The sequence below is a fragment of the Homo sapiens genome, chromosome 5, assembly GCF_000001405.40.
Source record: "Homo sapiens chromosome 5, GRCh38.p14 Primary Assembly".
Taxonomy (NCBI): Eukaryota; Metazoa; Chordata; class Mammalia; order Primates; family Hominidae; genus Homo; species Homo sapiens.
In genome coordinates this window covers 173089257-173109782 of record NC_000005.10, presented here as the reverse complement: position 1 = coordinate 173109782, position 20526 = coordinate 173089257, and the positions used below count along the sequence as shown (strand labels likewise).

General features: G+C 40.1%; 1 protein-coding gene across 8 annotated transcripts in view; it reads right to left on the bottom strand.

Moving 5' to 3' along the window:
* Positions 1-20526, bottom strand: part of CREBRF (CREB3 regulatory factor) — an 82933-nt gene that overhangs the window by 29502 nt on the left and 32905 nt on the right. For 6 of the 8 annotated variants that reach the window (XM_005265821.4, NM_153607.3, XM_011534442.2 and 3 more), the window contains 2 exons: positions 18382-19468; positions 965-1159 (listed from right to left, as the gene is read on the bottom strand). In XM_005265821.4, the coding sequence (XP_005265878.1) occupies positions 965-1159; positions 18382-19468 (1282 nt within the window). Of the gene's footprint in view, positions 1-964; positions 1160-17452; positions 19469-20526 lie in introns of those variants that run through there. The other 2 variants (NM_001168394.2, NM_001168393.2) reach the window with 1 other exon arrangement.

Below are 20526 nucleotides of genomic sequence, written 5' to 3'. Positions count from 1 at the left end.
AAAAGGAAAATGAGACACAAACATACATCAGATGGAATTCTTGTCCTCAAAAATCCTTTGCAACTCACATTCGTACGATGAGTGAATAACCTGTTTACTGACCATCACACTTACTAGTAGTTCCCCTCCCCACTTTTTTCAGTAAAGACTTTGTATTAATTTTTTTTATTCAGAGCAGAAGAACTAGAAACTATGGATTAATTTAAAAATAACATTTGTGCAGAATAAATTCTACTTAATCACAGCTTCCTGAGTTCACAATAAAAAATTTGACCTACCTAAGACTGTCATTTTTAAAATTTTTTTAGAGACAGGATCTCACTCTATCGCCCAGGATGGAGTGCAGTAGCATAATCACAATTCACTGCAGACTCTAACTCCTGGACTCAAGTGATCCTCCCAAAGTGCTAGGATTACAACCATGAGCTGCAGCACACGGCCTGACCTACCTAAGATTATAAACTTCTGATTCCTGCTACAGGTATTCAACTCTTCTCTACAACTCCTTTTCTCCATAACCATCCTCCCTTTCTTTTCTTTCCTTGCCCTTTTATCCCCATTACCGTTTGAATTCCAGTCCCCCCATTTACATCTGGGGATTACACAAGAATGCAAGAGAGCCCGTTCACTTTCTCCTCAACCCTTCTGGTTATACCAACTGTGACAGGTCAGAAACCAGCAGCCTCCTAGTCATTTCCTGAATGGGGTAGGTAGATTAAGAAGGGACTAGAAATGAAATAATGTTTACACAGTCCTTCCTCTCCACTTAGGTGAGGACTCTTAACACTGGTAAAAGCTATTTGTGAGTGACGAAGAGTAGTCACACAAATGTAGCAGCTCTACAGTCCCCATCTCCAGTTTGCTAGGAAGGGCTGAATGCCTAGGTACACGGAGTAAACATTATGGATTAGTAGCTCAACTTGATTAAAGTGACACTAAATATCTGACTGCAATCCCCTCTTACCATGATGTAAGCCATTTTTCTGATACATATTACTTGGCAAAGTATCTCGGTTCCACTCAGATGGTCTCAGCATCCTCTCTTGCTGTGATGGTGTAAGTTGTTCACTATACTCCCAGAAGTATCTTCTTTTACCTCTCTTCCGTGAAGATATTGAAGTCACCTCCTTCAGGTCTTCTACAGAATCATTTTCATAGCCTTAAAAAAAGGTCCCGCAATTTTTAAGCTCCATAAATTTCAATAAATCAATCAGAACAAATGAAAAGACCCCTTCTATTTGTAACTTGGTATATTTCCTTGCATCTGAAAACATCATTGGCATGTCAAAGATAATAAACCAGGTCTATAAGAGAACTTTTAATATGTAAATCTCTAACTCATAAAACATTCCGAGATTAATAAACATAGATAACTACACTGTTCATCTTCCTTGGGTTTCTTTTTAGTTTTTATAAGTTAGTATACGATACTATTTTTATTATCTTCAAACAGGATTAAGAGAACAATTACAGGACAGCTATAGGAATATCAAAAGTACCATCAGATAATGGTACTTAGATACATAAACTATGATTTTTAAATGTCTTCCTTCTAATATTTGTATCTGAAACATCTCAGACAGAAAGCTATGTATACTTCTTTTTTTTTAAATATTTTTCTTTTATTTTAATTTTTAAAAAATTTTTTGTAGGCCAGGCGTGGTGGCTCACACCTGTAATCCCAGCACTTTGGGAGGCTGAGATAGGTAGATCACTTGAGGTCAGGAGTTTGAGACCAACCTGGCCAACATGGCAAAATCGTCTCTACTAAAAAACACAAAAATTAGCCAGGGCGTGGTGGTGCACGCCTGCAATCCCAGCTACTCGGGAGGCACAGACATGAGAATCACTTGAACTCAGGAGGCGGATGTTGCAGTGAGCCGAGATTGTGCCGCAGCACTCCAGCCTGGGCAACAGAATGAGACGCTCACTCTGTCTCCAAAAAAAAAAAAAAAAAAAAAAAAATTTTGTAGAGACAGAGGTCTCACTATGTTGCCAGGCTGGTCTCAAACTCCTGGGTTCACAAGCAGTCCTCTGGCCTCAGCCTCTGAAAGTGCTGGGATTACAGGCATGAGCCACCATGCCTAGCCCAGCTGTATACACTTCTATGATGGTGTTCTACTAGGCAGAATTCTATGTGGCAGCATTAGTTTTCTTCCTACCTGTCACACCACTTCTTTTGGAAAAGTATAAAAGATGACGGTTCTCACACTGGCTATCAGATAAAAAACTTATATGCCTATTCCAGTTAATATTTTATTGAAAGCTATTTGTATTAACGTCACTGTTTAAGAAGGGGGTATTTTCCTAATAGGAAGTTTCAGAAAATACTTAATTCTGAGTTGCTAGAACTGTTGGTCAGACCCAGTATTGAATGACCTATAAATCTAAAATACCCTCAGAGAATGGCCACCTCTGATGTACTCCAGATCATTAACGCTAGGTACATGAACAAGACGGAATGGGCTGTGCGAAGAATGTACACAATCCAAACCTAAGGTAACCAGGAAAACTTGGGCAGCATTGGCCATAAGTAAAAAGGTAATTTTTCCTTCCTGAAAACATAAGAAGGTGATGATATGTTTGCTTTGAGGAACTAAGTTTTCTCCAGACAAAGAATGAATCAGGAGCATGCTTCCATTTATATACTATTCTGGAAAAAGCAACCTATATGGACAGTGGTTGCCAGGGATTGGCAGTGGAGAAAAGGGATGACTATAAAAGAATATAAGGGGCCGGGTGCGGTGGCTCATGCCTGTAATCCCAGGACTTTGGGAGGCCAAGGTGGGCGGATCACCTGAGATCAGGAGTTCGAGACCAGCCTGGCCCACATGGCGAAACCTCATCTCTACTAAAAATACAAAAATTAGCCGGGCATGGTGGTGGGTGCCTGTAATCCCCGCTACTCAGGAAGCTGAGGCAGGAGAATCGCTTGAACCCAGGAGGCAGAGGTTGCAGTGAGCCAAGAGCGTGCCATTGCACCACAGCCTGGACAACAAGAGCAAGACTCCATCTCAATAAAATAAAATAAAATAAAATAAAATAAAATAGAAGAGGGAATTTTCGGGGGTGATCAAACTATTTGGTATTAGTGGTGATTACATGATTTGTCAAAACTCATAGAAGTGTACACTGTAAGAGGGGTGAATTTTACTGTGTGAAAATTATACCACAATAAACATGACTTTAAAAAAAAGAATCAATTTGGAAAGCAGAATGATTTCTGAGCAACAGTTAAGGCAAGCTTTTGTAGCACTGCTGGTATTAACAGCATTTTATTAGTGTACACGTGGTAGTTTAAAACAAAACAGCAAGCAGTGTGATGGTGACCCTTAGGCTCTTCTTTTTTTTTTGAGATGGAGTCTTGCTCCGTCGCCCAGGCTGGAGTGCAGTGGCACGATCTTGGCTCACTGCAAGCTCCGCCTCCCAGGTTCACACCATTCTCCTGCCTCAACTTCCTGAGTAGCTGGGACTACAGGCGCCCACCACCACGCCTGGCTAATTTTTTCTATTTTTTAGTAGAGACAGGGTTTCACCATGTTAGCCAGGATGGTTTCGATCTCCTGACCTCATGATCCACCCGCCACGGCCTCCCAAAGCGCTGGGATTACAGGTGTGAGCCACCGCACCTGGCCCCTTAGGCTCTTCTTAAAAAATGATGCACAAGTTGAGTGACACAATCATTTCTAGAAGTCTAATTTTTAAAAACTATATTAGAATAAAGCAATGGCTTTGGCCTATTTATTTGTGCTTATGTTTCTTTTCAAATGATAGGATTTATTTTGTTCTAGTTATCAACCTAGTTTTGGAAAAGATGCAAGGGCCATATGTTGCCAACAGAAATGGCCTTTAAAAAGGCCCTTGTGGCCAGGCACGGTGGCTCATGCCTGTAATCCCAGCACTTTGGGAGGCCGAGGCGGGCGGATCAGGAGGTCAGGAGATTGAGACTATCCTGGCTCACACGATGAAACCCCATCTCTACTAAAAATACAAAAATAAATAAATAAAAAGGCCCTCATGGCCAGGCACGGTGGCTCATGCCTGTAATCCCAGCACTTTGGGAGGCTGAGGTGGGTAGATCACGAGGTCAGGAATTCAAGACCAGCCTGTCCAACATGGCGAAACCATCTCTACTAAAAATACAAAAATCAGCTGGGTGTGGTGGCGCCCACCTGTAATCCCAGCTACTCAGGAGGCTGAGGCAGGAGAAGACTTGAACCTGGGAGGTGGAGTGCAGTGAGACGAGATCATACCACTGCACTCCAACCTGGGCAACAACAGCAAGATTCTGTCTCAATAAATAAATAAATAAATAAAAGGCCCTTGTTACACTAGGTAAGCAAAAATTACTGGCTCACAAGATTACCCTAGTTTGACTGTGAACACCTCAACACAGGCAGATGCACCAACCAAAACACTCCCACCTTCCTATCAATGTCAGTAATTGGGTGTTCCACACTTAAGCCTATCCCAGCCCAAAGCATAAGGGAAAAAATTTTATACACAGCTTCCTCAGCTGTGTGTGTACACACACACACACACACACACACACACACATATATACACACATACCATCCTCCTGGATACTTTATTTGATATACTCCCTTAGATAGTAACTACCTTTGCCTCTCTGCAAGGGGCCTGGATCTCTGGCAAATCACTGTCCCTAGTTAGGAAGGAGGTTGTTAGCTCCATTTATACGAACTAAAATGCTCATGGAGACTTGACATGATTTGGCACAGCTGGGACTAAGTCAGGCCCCACAACTCAAGGTGTCTCAGGGGCTTCCCACTTTTCTTGTGCCTAATTAAATGATCTGAATAGATTTTTTCCTGCATATATTTCATGTTAAGTTTAAAGAATCATGAAGATTTTTTTATTTCTTCTGTCCCACCCAAATTACAGTTTTATTACCTATAGGCATCCAGCCTTTTTCCCAGAAGTATTTAAAAGCCATCAGTTTTCTTTGACTTAATACAATAACATTTTCTAATAGCATACACCATAAATTCACCATCACAAAAATACACACACACACACACTCTCTCTCTCTCTCTCTCTCTCTCTCTCTGAATTTGTTGCCTAAAGCCATCCACCTTTCTTGGGACTGTGACTTGCTCTGTCACCCAGGCTGGAATGCAGCAGCATGATCACAACTCACTGCAGCCTCGACCTCCCCGGCTCAAGCAATCCTCCCACCTCAGCCTCCTGAGTAGCTAGGGCTACAGGCACATACCACTACACTGGGCTAATTTTTGTATTTTTTGTAGAGACAGGAGTCTCCCTATGTTGCCCAGGGTGGTCTCGAACTTGGGCTCAAGCAATCTTCCCATTTCAGCCTCCCAAAGTGCTGAGATTACGGGCATGAATTACCATGCTCAGCCACCATCCACCTTTCAATACAGAGACTATCAATGATCAAACAGAATGAAAAAAATTATGCCCCAAGATCACTGGTCTTGAATCTAGGGTCATTAAATATTTCTCAAACTAGATTCTGAAGAACACTGTTACCGTGAGATATGGTTTTACCCGAAGTGAATTCTGTAGTCAGGTAAGTTTTAAAATCTCTCATCCTGCATATCTCTCTTGCCAAATCACAGTACACAGACATGTTAAAAGATTAAGAAATCATAACAGTAAATAAACCCACTTAACACTAAATTCCATGAAGATAAAGATGTCTACTTTTTTCATCTCTGTATAGCCAGTACCTAATATACACAGTGCCTGCCACAAAAGTAGGCACTCAAAATTTTTTAAAACAAATTCATGATGTTGTTTAATGCAACATTTCCTATTAAGGCCTTTCCCTTTTCTTTTCATGTGATAGATCATCATACTAATCTAACTCATTGCTATCTGACATGATTACCAAAAAAAGTAACAAATACCACATTTACTGCCTAAAATTTCAATCACACATCTCTGGTTAGTACAGACTACTGTCAATAAGCTGGTAAAGTCAACTGTGAAGATGTTTAGTGAAAATTACAAAATAAATTCTCATTCTGTGAGCCCATTCTTAGCCTTACAATCATGTAATTTCATGACCCCAAACAGTTGTAGCCTGTCCACAGAAAAGGCTCTATTAAAATTTGGGAGCCAATCCAGAAAAGAGACTAAAACTCCATTTTGCACCTTTCCTGAAACTTTGTAGGCTCGTGAACTGTTGTAGCCAAGTGCCAAGAAACAGCATCAAGGGAGCTAGTCATCACAAAAGGACCTTTGTAAACTGTCAGCTATAAATTAAACCAATCAATCCACCCTAAACTAGCACTGAAGAAACTATAGCTATCCTTACTCTTTTGCTACAAAGAATTTCTTCCTGTTTCTCACCAGTAACTCACTTTTGCATCTTTAAAGTCACTTGTTTAGCTCTTCTAGGAAAAGGAGAAAATTTTACTAGCAAATGTGAATAAAGTCCAAATAATACCACAAAATTAACACAATTTTGTGGTGAAAGCATGCTGCTCATTAACATTTGTGAGAACTGTCCAAATAATATTAACCAAAAGGGTTTTACTTCAAGTCAACTGAAAGTGAATGAATTAAATGCCATCCACAAATTTGGGATAATTGTCAAATAGGTCCAAGAAGAGAACTTGACCCTGCCAAATGCCTGCTAATGTATAAAGCCACTGTCCTGTTATGTAAGAGCAACATGCTAATAAATAAGGCTTCTCCTACAAGGGTCAAGGGAAGAAAATGTGACATGTGACTAGTTCTGCCTCCCTGTGAGAGTCAAAGGGATGAGAAAATAAAAATGGCGATCAATTAACCATGTGATCTCCCTTCACAGACCTCCTTATCTCTCAACACATCCAGAAGGAATGAAGTCAAGAGATCAAGGATGAATTTAGAGTGGAGTTAAAGGTCAAAGAAAAGTATGGCCCCAAGCTCCAAAATGGTTCCCATGGACCCAAGCTAGCCCCAGCAGAACCTGGTTACAGGTCTACCCCAGCACCAAGCCAGCAGCTGCAGACCTAGGCTCAGGGCCCACCCATCCCTGGAGTCCTGGACTCCAGGCTCACACCCACAGTCCTAGTTGACAGGCCTGCCCCAAGAGACCCCCATGCCACGCTGGTGCCTGTGGAGTCAGGACCAAGTCCACTCCCACAGATACAGGTGCCAGGTAAGTTCTCGTGGATTCAGACTCAAAGCCCACCCCACTGCCGGTTCAGCTCCTATGGACCCAGGTTTCAGACTGACCCCAAATGATCCAGGCTCCAGGCCTGCTTCCACAGTACCAGGCACCAGGATGACCTCTACAGACCCAAGCCTCAGACCCACCTGGCTGCTGACTCCAGCAATAGGCCAGCCTACCCAAGGACTCCAGGAGCAAACTTGCCTGCAGAGCCCTTCAGCAAGCCCACCCAGAACCTCTAGATGACCTGACAAGTGAAGGGCTTTCCTTGGCAAAGCCAGTCTATAAAGACTGGAAGAGGAGTCCACATGTTTAAATGTATAGACACCAATTAAAGGCCACAAGGATCACAAATAATCAGGGACAAATGACACTAGCAAAGGAAGAAAATTAAGCACCAGCAACTGATCCAAAATAATGCAGATCTATGAACTTCCTAACAAAGAATTCAAAATAATTGTCTTAAAGAAGCTCAGTGAGCAACAAGAGAACATAGACAACCAAATGCAATCTAGAGCTGAAGAACACAAGGACTAAACTGAAATATTCCATAGGGCAATTCAACAGAAGACTTGATCAAACAGAAGAAAGAAGCAGTGAGCTCCAAGACAGGTCATTTGAAATTATCCAGTTAGAGGAACAAAAAGAAAAAGGAATGAAAAAGAATAAAGAAAGCCTACAGGATTTATAGGACACCATCAAGCAAAATGAAATGCACATTATAGGAATAGTGAAAAGAGTAAAGAAAGAGAAAGGGGCAGAAAGCTTATTTAAAGTAATAATGACAGGCCGGGCGCGGTGGCTCACACCTGTAATCCCAGCACTTTGGGAGGCCGATGGGGCAGATCACCTGAGGTCAGGAGTTCAAGACCAGCCTGACCAACATGGTGAAACCCCGTCTCTACTAAAAATACAAAAATTAGCTAGGTATGGTGGGTGTCGGTAATCCCAGCTACTCAGGAGGCTGAGGCAGGAGAATCACTTGAACCCAGGAGGCAGAGGTTGCAGTGAGTCAAGATGGTGCCACTGCACTCCAGCCTGGGCGACAGAGTGGCAAGACTTCGTCTTAAAAAAAAAAAAAAAACTTCACTAAGACACATTATAATCAAATTCTGGAAAGTCAAAGACAAACAGACTTTTGAAAGCAGCAAGAGAAAAGCAACTTGTCATATACAATGAAACTCTCATAAGACTGTCAGTGGTTTTCTCAGCAGAAACCTTGAAGGCTAGAAGAGAGTGAGATAACATATTCAAAGTGCTGAAAGAAAAAAAACCACTGGGCTGGGCATGGTGGCTCATGCAAGTAATTCCAGCACTCTGGGAGGCCAAGGCAGGTAAAATGCTTCAGCCCAGGAGTATAAGACCAGCCTGGGTAACATGGTAAAACCCCATCTCTACAAAAAAAATACAAAAATTAGCTGGGTGTGGTGGCATACACCTCAGCTACTTGGGAGGCTGAGGTGGAAGGATTGCTTGAGCCCAGGAGATTGAGGGTGCAGTAAGCTAGGATCACGCCATTGCACTCTAGCCTGAGCAAGAGTTAAGACCCTGTCTCAGAGAAAAAAACAAAAACAATACCCTACAAAGAACACCATATCCAGCAAGCCAGCTGTCCTTCACAAATGAAAAAAATAAATAAAAGCTTTCCTAAGTTGGGCATGATGATGCACATCAGTAGTTCCAGCTACTCAAGAGGACTGAACTGGGAAGATTGCTTAAGCTCAGGAGTTCAAGACCAGCCTGAGTAACACAGTGAGACCCTCTCTCTTAAGGGAAAACAAAAAAGACTCCCAGAAAACAAAAGCTGAGGGAGTTCATCACCAGTAGGACTGCTTCACAAGAAATGTTAATGGGAGTTCTTCAAGTTGAAATGAAAGGATGCTAACTAACAGCATGAAAACATATGGGTTGGGGGGGAGCGGTGTGGCTCACGCCTGTAATCCCAGCACTTTTCGAGGCTGAGGTAGGTGGATCACCTGAGGTCAGGAGTTTGAGACTAGCCGGGCCAACATGGTGAAACACTGTCTTTACTAAAAATACAAAAATTAGCAGGGCGTGGTGGTGGTCACCTGTAATCTCAGCTACTCAGGAGGCTGAGGCAGGAGAATCGCTTGAACCCGGGAGGTGGAGTTGCAGTGAGCTGAGATCACGCCACTGCACTCCAGCCTGGGCGAGAGAGTGAGACTCCATCTCCAAAAAAAAAAGAAAAGAAAAACATGAAAGTATAAAATTCACTGTGTAAAAATAAGAACAGTCATATTCAGAATGCTCTAATACTGTAACAGTGGTATGCAAAACACTTTTAATGCTAGTATAAAAGTTAAAAAGGCATTAAAAATAACTATATATAAAATAATTTTGGCTGTGCATGGTGACTCACACTACTAATCCCAGCACTTTGGAGGGCCGAGGTGGGCGGATCACTTGAGGTCAAGAGTTTGAGACCAGCCTGGCCAACATGATGAAACCCTGTCTCTACTAAAAAAAAAAAAAAAAAAAAAAAATTATATATATATACACACACACACACACACACACACACACACACACACACACAAAAGATTAGCCAGGTGTGGTGGCAGGTGCCTGTAATCCCAGCTACTTGGGAGGCTAAGGCAGGAGAATCATTCAAACCTGGGAGGAGGAGGTTGCAGTGAGCCAAGGTTGCAGTGAGCCAAGACTGTGCCACTGCACTCCAGCCTGGATGACAGAGCAAGACTCTGTCTCAAAAAAAAAAAAAAAAGCTATATATAAAATAATTTCTTAAGGGATACACAATATGAAAAGATGTTAACTGTAGTATCAATAAAAAGTGTAAAGTGTAGAGATTTTACATATAGCCGAAGTTAAAACTATTACCAGCTTAAAAAAGACTTGTGTTTTATGTAAGCCCCATGATAATCACAAAGAAAAATCTGTAGTATAGATAACACAAAAGATAAAGAAAAAGGAATCAAAGCATACCACTACAAAAAACCAGCAAATCACAGAGGAAGAGAGCAAGAGAGGAAGTAACAAAAGGACTATAAAACAGTCAGAAAACATTAACAAAATGGTTAACAGTAAATCCTTACCTATCAATACCCAGTAAAATGATATAGAGTGGCTGAATGAATAGAAAACCAAGAACCAACTCTATGTTGCCCACAAGAAAATCACTTTAGCTTTAAGGATGCATATAGCCAGGCATAGTGGCTCACACCTGTAATCCCAGCACTTTGAGAGGCCAAGGCAGGCAGGTCACTTGAGCCCAGAAGTTCAAGACCAGCCTAGGCAACATAGGGAGACCTCATCTCTACAAACAATACCAAAATTAGCTGGGTATGGGGGTGCATGCCTGTAGTCCTAACTACTCAGGAGACTGAGGTGGGAAGATTGCTTGAGTCTGGCAGGTCAAGGCTGTAGTGAGCAGTGATTGCACCACTGCACTCCAGCCTGGGCAACAGAATAAGAACCTGTCTCAAAAAAATAAAAAGGATGCATGTAAGCCATAAGTGAAGAAATGAAAAGAGATATTCCATGGAAATGGCAACCAAAAAGGACAGAGCTGGCTATACTTACATCAGACAAAATAGATGTTAAATCAAAAACTGTCACAAGAGGTGGCACACACCTATAGTCCCAGCTACTCAGGAGGCTGAAGCAGTGGTACTGCTGGAGCCCAAGTAGTTGACACTGCAGTGAGCTGTGATAGTACTGGTGCACACCAGCAGCCTGGGTAACAGAGTAAGATTCTGTCTCAAAAAAAAAAAAAAAAGTAAAAAAATAACAACTATCACAAGACAAAGAAGGTCTTTATATAATAATAAAGGGTTTGTTGATTTATCAAGAGGTTGTATACATAGTAAATGTATGTACTCCCAATATCAAAGCACCTAAGTAAATGAACCAAATATTAATAGAACTAAAGGAAAAAACAGACGGTAATATAGGGGACTTCAACACTCCATTTTCAACAATGGATAGATCATCAGAATATCAATTAAAAAAACAATGGATTTGAATAACACTTCAGACCAAATGGACCTAACAGACATATATAGAACATTCTGACAGCAGCAGAATATATACTCTTTTCAAGCACAGACAGAACATTCTCTAGTTTAGATCATATGTTAGGCCACAAAACAAGTCTTACTTAACAAATTTAAGAAGACTGAAATAATACCAAGTATGATATTTTGGCAACTGTATAACTAGAAATCAGAAGGAAATCAGAAGGAAATTGAGACCATCCTGGCTAACACAATGAAACCCCATCTCTACTAAAAAATACAAAAAATTAGCCAGGCGTAGTGGCGGGCGCCTGTAGTACCAGCTACTCAGGAGGCTGAGGCAGGAGAATGGCTGAACCCGGGAGGCGGAGCTTGCAGTGAGCAGAGATTGCGCCACTGCGCTCCAGCCTGGGTGACAGAGCGAGACTCCATGTCAAAAAAAAAAAAAAAAGAAGGAAAATTGGAAAATTGACAAATAGGTAGAAATTAAACAACAAACTCCTGAACAACCAATGGGTCAAAGAAATCAAAAGAGGAATAGAAAAATATGTTGAGACAAACAAAAATGGAAACACAACATATCAAAACTTACGGGATAAAGCAAAAGCAAATCCAAGAGGGAATCTTATGGTAATAAACAACTACGACAAAGAAAAAAAAAAGATCTCAAATAAACAACCAAACTTTACACCTCAAGGAAGTAGAAAAAGAAGAACTAACCCAAAGTTAGCAGAAGGAAGAAAATAACAAAGATCAGAGCAGAAATAAATGAATTAGACACTAAAAAACAATAGAAAAGATCAATGAAGAGTTTTTTGTTGAAATGAAAACAAAATTCACAATCTTTTAGCTAAATTAAGAAAAAAGACTCAAATCAATAAAATTATAAATGAAAGAGGAGAAATCAGATTTAATACCACAGAAATGCAAAGAATCATTAAGGACTACTATAAACAATTATACACTAACAAATTGAATAACCTAGAAGAAATGGATAACTTCCTAGAAACATACCAAGACTGAATCATGAAAAAAATAGAAAAGTTCAACAAACCAATAACAAGAAAGAACACTGAATCAGTAATCAGAAACTGTCGGCCAGGCACGAGGGCTCACATCTGTAATCCCAGCACTTTGGGAGGCCGAGGCGGGCAGATCAACTGAGGTCAGGAGTTCCAGACTAGCCTGGCCAACATGACGAAACTTCATCTCTACTAAAAATACAAAAATTAGCCAGGCATGGTGGTGAGTGCCTGTAGTCCCAACTGCTCAGGAGGCTGAGGCAGGAGAATCACTTAACCCTGGAGGCGAAAATTGCAGTGAGCCGAGTTCATGCCACTGCACTCCAGCCTGGGTGACAGAGCAAGACTGTCTCAAACAAACAAAAACTCTCAATGAACTAAAGCCAAGGGCCTGCTGACTTCACTAGTAAATTCTACCAAATATTGAAGGAAGAATTAATACCAATCCTTCTCTAATACTTCTAAAGAAATGTAGAGGAGAGAACATTTCCAAACTCATTTTATGAGGCCAGTATTACCATGATACCAAAACCAAACAAGAACACACGAGGTAAGAAAATCACAGGCCAGTACCCCTGATGGACATGGATGCAAAAATCCTCAACAAAATACTAGCAAGCCATGTTCAACAGCACACTAAAAGGATCATACATCATGATGAAGTGGGATTTATCTTTGAGATGCAAGGATGATTCAATATATGCAAATCAATCAATGATATGCCACATTAACAGACTGAAGGATAAAAACAATATAATCGTCTCAATAGATATGGAAAGAACATGTGACAACATTCAACATGCTTCAAGATCTGAAAGAATTTGCTTTAAAAAATCAACATGCTTTCATGATAAAATAAAATTTAACAAATTACATATAAAAGGAACGTACCTCAACATAATAAAGGCCATACACGACAAACCCATAGCTAACACCATACTCAGTGATGAAAACCTGAAAGCTTTTCCTCTAAGACCAGGAACAAGATAAGGATGCCCATTCTCTCAACTACTATTCCATGTATTGATAATACTGGAAGTCCTATCTAGAGAAATTATGCAAAAGGAAAGGAAAGGGAAGGGGAGGGGAGGGGGAAGGGGCAAGAGGGGAGAGGAGGGCAGGGGAGGGACTGGACACAGAAAGGGGAGGGGAGGGAGGAGAGGGGAGGAGAGGGGAGGGGAGGGAAGGGAAGGGAAGGGAAGGGAAAAGGAAAGAGAAAAGGAAGGGAGGGAAGGGAGGCAGGGGAAGAAAGAAAACAAAGAAGGAAAGGCATCCAAATAGGAAAAGAAATTGTCTCTGTTAGTAGATGACATGATCTTGTATCTAGAAAACCCTAAAGACTTCACCATAGGCTGGGCGCAGTGGCTCACGCCTGTAATCCCAGCACTTTGAGAGGCCAAGGCGGGCGGATCACAAGGTTAGGAGATCGAGACCATCCTGGCTAACACAGTGAAACCCCGCCTCTACTAAAAATACAAAAAAATTAGCCGGGTTTGGTGGCAGGCACCTGTAGTCCCAGCTACTCAGGAGGCTGAGGCAGGAGAATGGCATAACCCGGGAGGCGGAGTTTGCAGTGAGCCCAGATGGCGCCACTGCACTCCAGCCTGGGCAACAGAGCAAGACTCTGTCTCAAAAAAAGAAAAGACTTCACCATAGAACTGTTAGAACTAATAAACTAATTCAGTAAAGCTGCAGGATACAAAATCATTATTCAAAAATCACTTGTGTTTCTATATGCTAACAACTATCCAAAAAAGAAATTAGAAAAAAATCCCATTTACAACAGTATCACACTAAAAAAAAAAAACTTAGAAAAAAATTTAACCAAGAAAGTGAAAGATCTATACATTGAAAACTATACAACATTGGTGAAAGAAACTGAAGACACAAATAAATAGAAAGATATCCTATGTTTATGGATTGGAAGAATTAATACGGCCAAAATATCCATATCACCCAAAATGAACTACAAATTCAATGCAATCCTTAAACAAAGGGAAAAAGACCCTAAAACTCATATGAAATCACAAAAGATTCTGAATAGCCAAAGCTATCTTGGGTAAGAAAAACAAAACTGGAGGCATCATATTATCTGATTTCAAAATATATTACAAAGCTTTAGTAATTATAGGCCAGGCACGGTGGCTCATGCCTGTAATCCCAGCACTTTGGGAGGCCGAGGCTGGCAGATCACGAGGTCAGGAGATCGAGACCATCCTGGCTAAGACAGTGAAACCCCGTCTCTACTAAAAATACAAAAAAATTAGCTGGGCGTGGTGGCGGGCGCCTGTAGTCCCAGCTACTTGGGAGGCTGAGGGAGGAGAATGGCGTGAACCTGGGAGGCGGAGCTTGCAGTGAGCCAAGATCGGGCCACTGCACTCCAGCCTGAGCAACAGAACGAGACTCCATCTCAAAAAAAAAAAAAAAAAAAAAAAGCTATAGTAATTATAACAATATGGTACTGGCATAAAAACAGACATATATACCAATGAAACAGAGAGCCCAGAAATAAATTCCCACATTATGTCCAATTAATTAATTCTTGGCAAAGGTGCCAGAAACAACAATAAGTAAAGGATAGTCTCTTCAATAAATGGTTATGGGAAAACTGGATATTCAAAGGCAAAATAATGACACTGGAGACCCTTATCTCATACCATATTGAAAAATCAACTCGAAATGGATTAAAGACTTAAACATAAGAACTAAATAATAAAAATACTAGGAGAAAACATGAAAAAGGATTCTTGACATTGGTCTGGGCAATGATTTTTTAAATGTATAATTCTAAAAGCACTAGCAACAAAAGCAAAAATAAAACAAATGAGATTGCATCAAACCAAAAAGCTCCCACAGAGCAAAATAAACAATTAACAGAGTGAAGGGACTACCTATGAAATGAAAGAAAAATATCTGCAAACCATACATCTGATAAGGAGTTAATATCCAAAATATACAAGGAACCCAAACAATGTAATAGCAAGAAAACAATCCAATTAAAAAATGGGCAAAGGACCTGAATAAACATTTTTAAAAAGACATCCAAATGGCCAACAAGTATATGAAAACATGCTCAATACCACTAATCATCAGAGAAATACAAACGAAAGCCACAATGAGATATCACCTCATACCTGTCGGCATGGCTATTACCAAAAAGATAAATGAAAGCAAGTGTTATTGAGGATGTGGAAAAAAGAGAACTCTTGTAAACTATTAGTGGGAATGTAAATTGGTACAGTCATTATGGAAAACAGCATGGAAGTTCCTCAAAAAATTAAAAATAGAACGATCATATGATCCAGCAATCCCACTTCTGGGGATACAGCCAAAATAAATAAAGCCAGTATCTTGAAGAGATATCTGCATTCCTATGTTCATTGCAACAGTATTCACATAATCCAAGATAAGGAATCAACAAAGGGGCCAACAATGAACATATACATAAAGAAAATGTGAGAGTTATACGCACATGCCCACACACACAGGAATATTATTCAGCCTTAAAAAGAAAGGAAATCCTGTCTTTGTAATAACATGGATGAACCTGGAAGACATCATGCTAAGTTAAATAAGCCAGGCACAGAAAGACAAATACAGCATGATCTCATTTACATGCGAAATCTTAGAAAAAAAGTCAAACTCAGGATCAGAGAGTAAAAAGTAGAATGGAGGTTGCCAGGGGCTGGTGGGTGGGGGAAATGGGAAGATGTTGGCCAAAAGGTACAAAGTTTCAGTTATGCAGGATGAATAAGCTCTGGAGATCTAACATACAGCATTGTGACTACAGATAACAATACTGGGCTGGGTGTGGTGGCTCACGCCTGTAATTCCAGCACTTTGGAAGGCTGAGGCGGGCAGGTGGCTTGAGTTCACAAGTTCAAGACATGCCTGGGCAACATGGCAAAACCCCATCTCAACAAAAGATACAAAAATTAGCTGGGCATGATGGTGCACGCCTGTGGTCCTAGCTACTTGGAAGGCTGTGGTGGGAGGGTGGCTTGAGCCAGGGAAGCAGAGGTTGCAGTGAGCCAAGATTGTGCCACCGCACTCCAGCCTAGGCAATTGAGCCATATCTTGTTTCAAAACAACAACAACAACTGTATTGTGTAGGCCAAATTTGTTAAGAGAGTAGATCTTAAATGTTCTTACCACCCTACTATGTGAAGTGATGGGTATGTTAATTAGCCTGATTTTAGTAATCATTTCACAATGTATACATATGTAAAAACATGTTGTACACTTTAAACGTATACAATTTTTATTTGCCAAACATACCTCAATAAAGCTGGGGGGAAAAAGTCAAAGAAAAGCAAAACTACAATCAAAAGTCAGGTAGATAATATAGTCCTTGCTGCCTTGGTGATGGTAGGATTTACTGACTCCTTCTGATCTATATATTCCTTTAAGCACCAGCTGCTAAAGGCATTTCCTTCCCCACATTTGCCATTTCCCTTAATTACCCATCCTCTCTTTGTTTCACCCTTCCCCTCCCTGCTCCTAAATACGAGACTCAAAGCAACAGGACCAATCTGTCAAGACTTTAAGGACCACTTATGAAGAGCACTATGATCTTCCAAGTGCAGGGAGTTATATAAATTACCCCTACCTACAAAGTCAAGTCTCCTTGAAATATCTCAAAGCAGATTTTATTCACTTGCCAAGAGAAAAATTTTCCTGTATTGTAAAAAGACATTATTCTACCTAGACTATATAGAGTTGTACAGTAAACCAATGAAGAAGGCACAATCCCTTTTCTTCCATATTCAAGTACCTTTTACTTACCTGAAACTCCACCCAAATCAAAAAATGTTTGTGTCAAATGCATAAATCAAAGCATTTGTGTAATAGAAAGATTTCACCAAAGGAAAAATTCTTTTAGTAAGAATAATGTTTCACTAGTTACAATATAGGTATTATGCTTTAAACGCCTTTCAGAAAATTAAATATCTATGTTTATACTGCCTGAAATTCCAGCAATCATCATTATAACAAAAGGGCTCTCTTTGATAGTTTTTTTTTAAATAATAACTTAGTTTTCATGCAGAGTTAGTACCAACAATATTTTTGAAGAAGATAACTTTAGTTTAAATTTAAAGATCTTTACTTCTTTGTGCATTTTCAACCATGTGCCACTTGGCAATACTATTTTTATAAATAAACTGCACAAGCCAACAGCGCCAAAAGCCCAAGCATGTAAATGCTAAAGTGAACCAGTTCCCCCAGAGATTTCATTTTCTTTGTCCCTTTTATTTATATGCGCTGTATATAAATAAAGCAGAGTCTCCTTCATGCTCACCAAATTACAGCATGTATTTTTCTTAAATAGGAAAATACGATGTAAATTAAAATGTTAGCAGACACAAAGAAAATGCTTTTACATTATTCATAAATAGACTTTGTTGGGTATTGGAATGAGTAATATAAACCATCATCACTTGGTTCAACATTCTATATACTCCTAACTTATCTCAACTATAATAGAGAGACACATGCATAAACAGTAATATTTTTATTTATTATTTTTTGTTGTTATTGAGACAGACTTTCACTCCTGTTGCCCAGGCTGGAGTGCAATGGTGCGATGTCAGCTAACCGCAACCTCAGCCTCCTGGGTTCAAGTGATTCTCCCGCCTCAACCTCTGGAGTAGCTGGGATTACAGATGCGTGCCACCACATCTGATTTTTGTATTTTTAGTAGAGACAGGGTTTCGCTGTGTTGGCCGGGCTGGTCTTTAACTCCTGACCTCAGGTGATCCGCCCACCTCGGCCTCCCAAAGTGCTGGGATTACTAACGTGAGCCACTGCGCCTGGCCCTAAACAGGAATATTTTTTAAACCAATAAATTATTGGTGTCTTTGCATAAATGCTCAAGAGAGTGACAAAACAGGTCACTTAACATAAGATACATTAAGAATAAGTCCTCAGCTGGGCACAGTGGCAAGCTCTCATCTCTATTTTAATTTTAAAAATAAGAAATAAAATAATAAAAAATAAGCCCTCAAGGAATCAGCTTATGAATCCCTATGTGAGCAAAAGTGATCATTTTAGAGCTATTTGAATAGAAAAACCAATTACATATCCAATCCAAGGTTTAAGTCATTTAATTCCCAAACTAAAATAAAGAAATTATCCAAACAAAACAGAAACAAAAACCTTTCTATTTCAAAATAGTAATACAAAGGTCAGTCTGGTAAGCTTGCAAGCATTATAATACCTGGTTCAGAGAAAGTATCACTAATATCATCATCCTTGTCATCTTCATAATCCTCTTCCTCTTCTTCCTCCTCCTCATTTTCAGACAGTTCATGCTCACTGCCGAATCCTTCATCATGGTCCTCATCATCAACATCCTCCTCGTCCTCCTCATCTTCTTCAGGACTGCATTTAGTTGGCTGTTCACCCAAGTTGTCGGAGACAAAAAGAGAATAATTGTGCTCTTCTTTTTTCTGGGATGAATCTGAGACTGATGTACTGGCAGAAAGACTGCTGCTCTCTCCTGCTGCAAGTGACCCAGGACCTTCCTGGGGCAGGGGACTTAGTAATAGTTCCTGGGTTTCTTTAAAAGGCAAAGCGGGAGTGGCATGACCTTGAAGAGGCTCCATCCCTTTTTTCTCTTGTCTCTTTGCCACTGCACCACAGTAGCAGGTGTTCTCCTTTGCTGCATCTGTGTGAATCTGGCTCAACAAGGGCCGGCTCTGTTGCACTGGGTTGATCTTTACCTTTGCCTTTTTTACATAGTCTTTACATTCAACATGAAAGTTCACCTTTTCATTATGATACATGTTGGTCTTCACCATGATTTGTGTGCTTGAAGTGGGTTTACTTGCTTTTTGGACACAGTCTGACAAAGGGACCTCAGCCTGCAGAGTCTTAGAAGAACACACAGGAGCAGCTGCTCTGCTTGTGATCTTTTTACCAGGGAATGAAGAGGGTAAGGGATTTTGTTTGACACTGAAAAGTGAATCGGGGTAATAAAGGGAATCAGAAACAGACTGTGAGTCCTCACTATTAAGTTGAGCTAAAGTTGGAGTTTTACTTATAACCTCTTCATCTTGGTAAGGACTAGAAAAGTCATCAAGACCCAAGTAATCCACTTCTTTTGTTCCCCAGATGTCACAGCTGGTTAGTTTGGTATATTTCGTTAGGTCTTCACAGTATGTATCCCACTGTTCCCAGTTTGAGGTTAAAGCACCCTCATTATCCAGGACATCTGTGAAAGACTCCAGATTTTCAATGTCTTTGCAGTCCTCCAAAGAAAGAAAGTTGTCTCTAGGATTCTGTTGGTAGTTCATCTCTCTATCCTGAGAAAGGTTTTAAAAAAGAAATTGCACATCATATTTCAGAAGGAAATATTCACCTCCATATGTCAAACTGATAAATCAATACTTGACTTTTGGTCTGTTTTAACATAAAGGCTACTGACAGGACGCTTTATCATTTCATATAATGTCATCATTTCCTTAGGCAAGAAAAAGTAGAATGAAAATAAAACAAACAAAAATCAATTAAAAATTAAATTTAAAAAAGACGGAAAGTGTGTCCCTTGAGAGGCTCAGGTATGATCCAAATATCAAGGGCTCTTGAGTTTACCATAAACATTCTGCCTGAAAAAAGTTTACATTTCCTTATCTTAGAAGGATTTTGGGATCTCCTTAGTGGTGGTAGGGTGGGGGCAGGGGGAGACACTTCAACTAAAAAGCAAACAATGTGATAAGTGAGAGAGAAGAATTTAAAATATTAACAATGAAAATAATAAAGACACCCTCATTACAGAAGAGGATATCTTTTTAGTGGGAACTTAAATATAGAGGCAAAGAGCAATCCAAAGAGAGTTGGAATTCAACCACAGAATGGTAAGATCTTTTGCAAGACCTTATAACAACACTTGGGCAGGCAGAGTAAAATACTCCTCACGAATTTTAGAGATGATTTTTTTTTCTTTTTTTTTTTTTTTAAAGTAGAGACAGGGCTTTACCATGTTGACCAGGCTGGTCTCAAACTCCTGACCTCAAGTGATCTGCCCACCTTGCCCTCCCAAATTGCTGGGATTACAGGCATGTGCCACTGGAGATGTCAATTTCAAATATCAGTTAAGACTCTGCAGCCATTGAAATGAATGCAGCATAGCTCTAATGTACAAATATGAAAGACTGCCCACCATATATTTTTATTTTTAAAAGAGCAAGTTACAGAAAACTGTTATCTATATTATCCAATTAAAAAGTATATACAAAAAAACTATATACATATGTTTACATATGCATGGAAAAGAACCTGTTAGTTACGTTTTGGTAAAAGGTTTGGAAGGTGGAGGCACAGAAAGAAAATGAGGACGTTTTGAGTCTTCCAGAGTTATTTT